Source organism: Homo sapiens, chromosome 10, assembly GCF_000001405.40.
Source record: "Homo sapiens chromosome 10, GRCh38.p14 Primary Assembly".
NCBI classification, from domain to species: domain Eukaryota; kingdom Metazoa; phylum Chordata; class Mammalia; order Primates; family Hominidae; genus Homo; species Homo sapiens.
In genome coordinates this window covers 53,610,804-53,621,114 of record NC_000010.11, presented here as the reverse complement: position 1 = coordinate 53,621,114, position 10,311 = coordinate 53,610,804, and the positions used below count along the sequence as shown (strand labels likewise).

General features: G+C 35.4%; 1 annotated feature.

The window, feature by feature from the left end:
* Positions 1,207–1,708: an enhancer, noted in NCBI's record as "H3K27ac hESC enhancer chr10:55379167-55379668 (GRCh37/hg19 assembly coordinates)". NCBI's record gives its function as "activates a minimal SCP1, AML or CMV promoter by ChIP-STARR-seq in naive H9 embryonic stem cells {active_cell/tissue: H9 hESC(naive)}" and the evidence as "EXISTENCE:reporter gene assay evidence [ECO:0000049][PMID:30033119]".

The following is a 10,311-nucleotide window of genomic DNA, read 5'->3' as shown; positions in this document are numbered from 1 at the left end:
TGAGCGTTTTAATATAATACATATCCTTCTAGTCACTACTTCCATGGTATCCCACAAACTTTGCTATGCCATATTCTCATTTTTTTGCAGTTCAAAGTATTTTAAATTTCCCTTGAGAATTTGTATTTAATCAATGTTTGACAGAGAAGCATGTTAAATTTTCAAGCATCTGGAGTTATTCCAGTATTTTTTTCTAGTTTACTTCCATTATGGTCAGAGAACATACTGTCTATGATTTCTATTATTTTGAATTTGTCATGGTTGTGTTATGACCTATGACATGGTCTACCTTGGTGCATAATGCAGGTGCACTTAAAGAGAATAGTTTGCTGTTGGAGGATGTAGTGCACCTATAAATGTCGGTTAGATCCAGTTGAAGTGACGGTGGTTTTAGTTCTATGACCTTGCTGATTTTCTGTCTGTTCTATCTCTGAGAAAGGAGCACTGAACTCTCTAACTAAAATTTGGATTATTATATTGCTTCTGTCATTTCTGTGTGTTTGTGTGTGTGTGTGTACATGTGTACATACTTATTTTGGATTGCTATGCCTTCCTGGTGAATAGCCCCTTTTTTCACTGTGTAATACGCCTCTTCATACTTGGTAATTTTCTTTTTTCTGAAGTCTAATCTGATATTATTAAAGCCACTACAGCTTTTTATTTAGTATTTGCATAGTATATTTTCCCCATTCTTCTTGTAACCTACTTATTACATGACATATGAAGTGAGTTTCTTATAAACAGTATATTGTTGGGTCTTACTTTTAATCTAATCTGACAGCATCTCTTTTTTAATTAGCATTTTTAGACAGTTTGCATTCAAAGTAATTAATGACATGTTTGGATTTAGGTCCACCATATTATTCCTTGTTTTATACTTGTTCCCTCTTTTTTTTTAAAAAAAAATTAGTTTCTTTCCTCTTCCAATCTCCTTTTGTATTATTGGAACATTTTGTGTTATTCCATATGGATATATTTATTGTGTTTTTGGTGAGATCTCTTTGAGCACTTATAGCTGAGTTTAAGGAAGAAAGTAAGGACTCAGGCTTCAGGCCAGCCCTTTGCCACACTTGCTACAGTGGCCATGCCCTACTGATAGAGGCCAAAGACAGCCAAATGCCTAGGCAGACAGAGGAGGGTCCTTGGAGAATCTCCAACCTGTCCCACAAGTGCTTACGCCAGAAGATTTGTGCAGATAAGGGAACCTGCACAGGGGATCTGCCCGGGCATGCCTGCAGAGAACTGGAGGCCCACATCCACTGGGGGAATGGGGTGGAGCCACCAGGAATTTGTGTCTTATGCAAGGGAGGAGCCTGGCCTCTTCAGCTCCTGTATTGTGGCCCTAGTATTCAATTGGGGAGGTGAAAACCTGCCTACAGGACTCCCTCCTCTTTGCTGAGAGTTTTCCTTTCACTTAATAAATTCCACCCTCCTCACCCTTCAATGTGCCTGAGTGCCTAATTCTCCCTGGTCATGAGACAAGAACCCAAATTTAACTGAGCTAAGGAGCAAAAAATCCTGCATCACTATTGGCTTCTATGGTCTCAGCCATCTCCCTGCCCTAGATTTTAAATTCGTTATCTTATGACTTGTTCACACTCAGAGGATCTGGTTTCATATGGGGCCACCAGGGCAACTGCAAAACCTATGAAGTTAGAATTAGAATCCACCATGGAGATGAAAAATCCATCATTTTTGTGAATCAGATAAAGCCTCAAAGGTCAATTAAAACAGATTTCATCTGAAAAAAGTGACTTGCTTGCCAGTTGTGGTCCCTTAGAAAGAACTTACTCCATGACATCCATTGGCCAACAAGAAAAATAGCCCAAAAGTTACTATTGAAGGCCAATGTAAGTGAAATGAGGTACACTACTCAGCATAAGAAAAACAAGACTACCAAAGAATTGAATAATAATCTTAGAATGGAAATATCTAAACAGCACATAGATGTTGGAAAAAGTTGGCCATTTAAGACAATGTGTAGCAAGAGAACTCAAATACCCATACATGTCTAAATCTAATTATTTTAATTAAAAATACATGATAAGGGCGACAAGAGTGAGACTCCGTCTCAAAAAAAAAAATGATGAAATATGTGATAGGTATGAAATATAATTCTAAGCACCAAAGGCTAGCCCCGATTTTCTTAAACTTTCTGAGATATTATATGTACTATTATTTTTTTCCTTGGAAACCCTCCTAACAATAAGGATAATTTATCTGAGTGAGCAACAAGTTGAGAAATAAATTCCAAAATATCTAAAAAATTAATGGACTCCATGGTGTGATTCTAGATTATGAGTAGATAATAAAAGAATAATGACAGCATTTGGAGAACTCAGGTCAAAAATTTTACTCTGAAGGAGTGTGTAGGTTTAAGTGAACAAAAAAAGGGTTTTAAAATAATTTTTTGGTGGGAAATCTTCGAGTCAATTTGGTGTATCCAAAATTGACTTTTTAGAAAGAATACTAAAAGAATTGAAAGCTTATGTTTTTTTTTGGAGGATAATTTTAAACTTCCAGAGGGAACAGAGTTATATATAAAGCTAACTCAAGGACAGAAAATGTTATAATCTCTCCAACATTGCAACCCAGGTAAGAGACCTGGCCACTACCATTTTCAGAAGGACATACTGTTCTATAGAAAACAGACTCCAGAAAAGACCTTGGAAAGAAAGAGAAAAGAATATATCAGAAGAGGATAAGATACACTAGTACAGAGTTCAAAAACTGAAAACAAGTACTACAAAATACAGTTAAAGCTTCATAAAACTCTTGCATTTTAAAGAGATAACCTATAACCATTTATTTATTTTTTGTGTTTCAGAAAGAACGTTTTCTGGAGAAAGATACGAGGTGCCACATCAGAGATACTTATTAAGACCAATAAACCAAAATACGGTTCTTCAAATACCAGCTCCTGGAAGATGTGTTTATCAAATCTTTTCAGAGAAAGTAGTTCTAAGCCAAGGGGGCTTCACTTATTTTTCCATTGTAAATGATGTGCCTGCATTTTTTTTCTCTGTTCTCAATGAAATACATGGGTCTGTGGGGGAAAAAAAAAAAAAGCCTTCGTCTGGCATAGCATAACATCTACGTTGGATCTGAAATCTGGGGCAGCTATGCTGCCTTGTTTTTATTTTTTGAGACAGGATCTTGCTCTGTTGCCTGGCTAAAGTGCAGTGATGCTATCACAGCTCACACAGCAACCTCTGCTTCCTGGGCTCAAAGAGTCCTCCCATGTAGCTGGCATTACAGGAAAATACCACCGTGCCTGGCTACTTTTTTTTGCTTTTTAGTAGAGACGAGCTCTCACTATGTTGTTCAGGCTGGTCTGGAACTCCTGAGCTCAAGGATCCTCCCACCTCGGCCTGCCAAAGTGCTGGGATTACAGGTGTGAACCACTGTGCCCAGCCTAGATTATCTCTTTGTTCTAAAAACTGATGCACCAAACCTCTGACTTTTCCCACATATTTCTCTATATTAATTTTCCAGAGGAAAATTCCAACCCCCACCGTGTTAATTTGGACCACCTCCTCAACTATGGGGAACTTACAGGTCTCTACCCCTTTTTCCACCTTCTGTTCCAACTGAGCACTATATTTAAGTCACCTCCCTTAGGCTTTCATCTACAGTAAGTGGCTTGCCTGATAATCTCTGAGTATATTACATATGGACACACACTTCAAAGATTTGACTCTGAATTTTTCTGTTTAATTAGAGAAAAAGGCATTCACTACAAATGAAGACTACTTTAAGCTTGAAAATTCAGTAGATTTAGCAAGGTATTGTAACTTATATCCCATAGCTCATATAAATAGTGAATGATTTAGAAATTACAACAAATATACTTTTAAATATGTCCTTTTGTGTTATATATGTAAATTATCTCTTGCTTCAAAAAATGATTGCAAATCATACATTTAACTCAGAAATTGAACTTGTTTTTTGAACATTAAATACAGTTGTAAATATAGTGCCTAACATATAAAGATCATTTACATTAAAAATCCAAAATTTGACTTGTCTTGTGTACTTCAAATTAGTGGTTGTAATAGGATTTTCTAGATAACAAATACTCTCAAATTATCACATTTACCATAGATAAATTACATTCTGCTCTTTTCTTAAAAATACATTACAATACATTAAAATGTTGTTGTCTTCTAAACCATAATCATTTGCTGCCGAAAAGTTAGTGTACAAAGCCTTAAATGGTGAAATGGCAGGCATAAAGACCAAATGGTCCTTTAACCACCTCATTGTAAATGTTTACAAGAAAGATTACTGCAGGCATGATACGTGAAATTTTTGTTCCTTCTACTGCAATCTCTAGCAAAATCATCGCTAAACGCTTTGCTAAACTGCCCCATTTACTACACGTGTTCTTATATTACTGCCATTTCTCTTTTTGATGGAGCTATACATCCTGGATATGTACTGAAAGAGAGCGTATCTATGTTACTACAGCTGTATGACCAAGTTGTCAAATAATTTGTACACTAACCATTATAACACCTAAGGGAATGTGTTTCTTTGAGCTGAATTGAGTCAGGCTATAGAATAACAAAATGAGGATTTTGAAAATAAGCTTGAGACCCTTAAGGATATAGACAATATTTTACACTTTCATGCTAGAATAAATAAACAAAAGCAAGACCATCCAAAGAACACTGTAGGGATTAAAGTTTAACTTGCTTCTCTATCAAATGTAATAACAAATTCTGCTTGAGGATACATGCATATGCTACGATCTATGATTCTCTTCTGTCATCTGTACTCGGATATAATTTACAGTGATATCATCAGAGCATTTGTTGGTACAGCACATAAATGGATATAATGTCTAAAGGCCAGCAAAACTCTGTATACTTACTATGAAAAATAAGTGTATTTATTAAACTTAAAATAAAAATGTTTCATATTATCTTTAGAAATATTTTAAGCTTTTTTAAAAAATTATATAAACTGCTCAAATAAAAGCAAATCTGGTTATTTGCTTGCTTAAATATGAAGGTGTCAATTTGAATTCCATTCTTTATATTGACTCAGCGCAGTTTTTAAGGAATCTTTATCTACATAAAGGGCCATTTCATGTCAATTATTTCATACTTATCTGTCAAAATTTAAGTATATTTTTATTACATTTTTTTTTTGGTTTAGACATAACCCTAGTGTTGTAGATTCTCCAGAGGAAAAGAAAAGATGATTAATTCTGAACATGGCCTAAATATGCCTAAACATTGCGGACAAAGAATTGTTTATAAGAATCAGTCTCAAGGTAGGGTTTGGAAAATAAATCTTTCAGGATTTATGAAGGAGGAAAGTTTGCACAAGGAATTAAGTGCTTACAAACTATTGTAAGGGATAGAGAAGCAAAGTTCAGGGAAAGTCATCCCTGGCTCTCAGGTTTTACTCAAGTTTTCCAGATAAGGGAGCACCAATTGTCAGAGGTTGCTGCAGCCCCAAGAGGAGTAATTTCCACTAGACTACTGAGACCTCTGCAAAACTATGGATCTACCAAGCTCTACCATCTATACCATAGGTTTCAGGAGGAGAAGGACAGTTTTTGTTTTTCTTTTGCCTTCCAAATCCTTTGCAAGAACTTCCCATTGGAGCAATTTGATTTCAAGACTTTCAGCCCCTCCAGGACAGGAGAAATATGGAAAGGGAATGTAGCTCAGACAAATACTGGAGACATCTAAGTTTTCATGTCTCAAGTCCTTCACACAAAACTTGACAAACAGTAAGGGTTGAAATTTGTAGTATACTGATGACTTCATGTTTTTATGTCACTGATGAGTTAGCTACTATAAAGGTGGAATTAATGGTCTCTTGAAACTTTATATAAATATAATTATCTCTTTGGAAACATCAGTCTGAAAAATCATTTTTAATTCTAGCTCTATCCCTTAGTTTGAGAAACACTTTTATTTTAGGGCCTTTCCCCTCCTGCATGGTTATTCTTTCCTGCCAGGAATTGGCACATGTTTTCTATATGGAATACTCAATAAATGCTTGTAGAATTGAATTTCCTTTGACAGCAATAGAGGAACCAACCCTAAAATAATTGAAACCTCAGAATAATTTATTTTAGGCTGGGTCTAAATACAGAGTTCTGTGGGATATTTATTGGGATAATCTGAATATTCCAAATATATTTGCAACAATATTTCAATTGAAAAAGAAGACTTTCTTCTGTCTTTAGTCTTAGAATTACTTCAGTTCTTTTTTCTTTATAGAAAACTTCTCTAGTATAGAGAGAAGGAAGTCAATTCACACGCATTTTCTAGGTCATTTTGAAAATAAATCCTTTACTTCTTACATTTAAGTTTTATTAATTTGGCAGTGCTCATCATTTAAAAAAACTGTATTAAAGAAATAGTGAAGAAATTAATAATAGCAAATTTGATATAAAAACAGAAAGTACCAGCTGGGGTGACATGGCAAAACTCCATCTTTACAAAAAATACAGAAAAAATTAGCCCGGTGTGGTGGTACACACCTGCAGTCCCAGCTACTCGGGGGGCTGAGGTAGGAGGATCACTTGAGCCCAAGAGGTCAAGGCTTCAGTGAACTGAGATCATACCACTGCACTCTAGCCTCGTGACAAAGTGAGACCCTACATTTAAATTTTTTTTAAAAAGTAGTTTGTTTCATATATTACCTGGATCACATTAATTTGCTTTTATTTTATTTATTTTATCTATTTTATCTGTTTTTTGGTAATTCAAAATTTTAGTGCAGATGAATGAATTTGGGGCAGATATATAGATTTTGTTTATACTAAGAACAAACTGTCTTTAGCAGTGGAGAGATTCATTTGCAACTTGCTGTCAAGATTGGTTACAATAATTACTACTGCAAATAAAAGGAAATGTAGCCTAAAAAATAGAACATACTAACTTCATAAACAGTTACGTAAATTGAGATGAGAGTCTGAATCGGTAATGTAGCTAAAGCAATCCTGACAGGATTATGTTTAGATTGAATTTACGAATCATTGGAAGTCTCTGGAAAATGAATGACTGCATTTTAATTACCATGTCTAAACACCACCATTTGGGGATAATCACAAGGTTTACTTCTGAAAGTAGAACTTAAATTTTACTTATCACTGAAAATCAGCCAAGATAGGGAAACATTTCTAGCAAACCTACAGATTATTTGTTAAATTACTGAATGGTTATTTAACATAAATTAATAGGAAAAATCAATAAATGTAACAGAAAACAAAGAAATGATTTGTCTTTTACTATTTTAATCCATCCATGTTAAACAGGCTGAAAATTCTTTACATTTTTATTACCTAAAAATCAGTAGAACAGTTAATCTTTCAGAGTCAGGGTTTGCTGTTATCAATTTGTGGGCAGCCCACAGTATTTCTCAAACCGTTATCAAATAACTACCTTTACCTAAATTATCTGGAATGTTTGTTTATTCTGCTGACTTCTGGGCCCCTCCCCAGACTTACTGAATTGATATTTTGAGGATATGACATGAAATGCTGCAATTTTAGCAGACTCCTCTATGTTTTCTTACCACATTGAGGTTTGAAAATTGCTGTTTTATGAGATAAAAGATACTAAGTTCAATTACTGTCTATTACCTTGAGGCATATTTGTAAAACAGGAAAATTTATCATGGACGTAATAATAAAATACAACTTTAAAGTGGAAGAAAAGAAAACCTCCACAAATTATAGATACATTACACACACACACACACACACACACACACACACACAAAGCTTTAGGTATAAAAAACTGTAATAGTAAAGTGAGAAGAAAGGGAAGTAGCACTCTCTCATTTATTGATCCAAAAGTGCTTCCTAACCAGTCACTGAGTGGCAGTGTTTTAGAAAATGGGGATCAGCATTAAAAAGGAGAAAAAAAAATGTATACACTTGTAAAGCTTACAGGAAAGAGTCAGAAAATAAACTAAGAAGTATATTAGAAAAAAAGAGAACTGGGTAAGGAGGACTCAGATTGCTAGGGAGAATTTATAGTAGAATTTAAAATAGGAAGTTCAAAGTCTTTTATAATGAGAAAATAATCTTAGAACAACGATTTGAATGAGATGAGAAAATTAGCAGCGGTGAACATTCCAAGTAGCGGAAACTAGGCAAAGGTCCTAAGGATTATACATTCTTTTCAATCACATTTTCTTAAATATCACTCATTTTACCAAAAAAAAAAAATTCTGGGTATTATTTTTATTGATCAGTGACCGCTTTGATGCTTAATGTAGAGATATCTTCGGGTTGTATTTCTTTCTAGAGGCCTTCAAATACTAAGTAAATGTTAAATATGTTTCCCTGGGGCATAGATTAGTTAACTTATAGTGATAATGAAATATTTTAAATTACATCATCAACAATATAATGTTTACTAAGTTAGGGAGTCCTGGTGGAAATAGCAGGATAATTGTCCAAATAATGTAAATTCTTTTTTTTTTTTTTTTTGAGACAGAGTCTCACTCTGCTGCCCCGACTGGAATGTATTGGTGCGATCTCAGCTCACTGCAGCCTCCGCCTCCTGAGTTCAAGAGATTCTCATGCCTCAATCTCTTGCATAACTGGGACTACATGCAAGTGATGCCACACCTAGCTGATTTTTGTATTTTTAGTAGAGATGGGATTTCACCATGCTGGCCAGTCTCATCTCCAACTCCTGACCTCAAGTGATCTGCCTGCCTCGGCCTCCCAAAGTGCTGGAATTACAGGCATGAGCCAACATGCCTGGCCCAAATAATGTAAATTCTTCGTCTATTTCTTTTTCTTTTTATACTTTACTAATTTTTCATGCCACAAAGTATAAATATATTTTAGTAAATTATATAATGATATGCCATTTACTAGTGGCTCAAGCAAAAGTAAATAGACCTTGTGTCTACGGATGCTAATGTATTAGTCAAATCCCATACAAAATGTATGTTCAAATTTCAGTAACAGATTTTTATTTGGGATATAAAATCAGATGTACCAAAAATATAAGAAGTCCAGTAGGATGAAGAAAAAAACAGATTAAATGTGGATCTTAAAAAACAGCATGTTGAGGTGAGGCCAGATGAGGGCTTCAAGATGACTGACTAGAGGTGCCTGACATTCACATCCTCCACAAAGAAGAACCAAAGCAGTGAGTAGATAATCACAGGCGGAACAGAGCATCTAAGAGAGAGCAGTAGAATTCAGCAGGGAAATGACAGAAAACATCGGAGGGATGGGAGAATAGGGAAACAAAGCAGCTGGGCTGATCAGGATCAGCTGACAAAGGAAACTCCCCATTGCAGGGAAAAGGTAAGCAAGAGATTCCCAGTGGTCCACATACCCACTATGAACCCCTGCAATTCTAGGCACTGGAAGTCCCCTTGCCCCTCAAGGGCTCTGAGACCAGTACTGGGAGCTGCCAGGAGTCCACATAATTGTTCCAGAGAAGGAGTTCCCCCTGGGTCCCACGCACCCCCTGGACCCAAGCAACTACAGCAAACCACCATTTTGAGAGCCCAGCCCCTGCTAGGCTACATTTTTCCTAAAGGCTGAATAGTCCCTACATCCCTACATTCCTGGATCCCTGCTGACATACCACAATGTTCACCCAGAGGGCTGCAGCATTTTGGAAAAAAACAGGGAAGTATCATACTACCTGACCTTAAAATATACTATGAAGCTATAATACTACAAATATCATAGCGTTAGTATAAAAACAGACTCATAGACTAATGGAACAGGATACAGAACACAGAAATAAATCTACATATTTGCTGCCAGGTGATTTTGACAAAAGCATCAAGAATATATACTGGAGAAAGGACATCTTCTTCAATAAACGATGCTTGGAAAACTGGATATCCATATGCAGAAGAATGAAATGAGACACATATTTCTCACCTATACAAAAATCAATTCAAAATGGATTAAATAATTAAGCATAAATCATAAAAACATAAAACTATTAGAAGAAAATGTAAGGGAAACACTTCAGGGTGTTGATCTAGGTGAAGGTTTTATGGCTTAAAGCTTCAAAAATACAGGCAATAAAAATAAAATGGACAAATGGGCCTATGTTAAACTACAACGCTTCTGCAGAGAAAAGGGAACAATTAATAGAGTGAAGAAACCACCTGAAGAATGCATGAAAATATTTGCAAACCATTTATCCAACAAGGGACTAATATTCAGAATATACAAAGAACTCAAAAAACTCAACAGCAAAAAACAAATAACCTCATTAAAAAGTGGGCAAAGGATCTGAATACACATTTTCCAGAAGAAGACATATGGATGGCCAACAGGTGTATGAAAAATAAGGC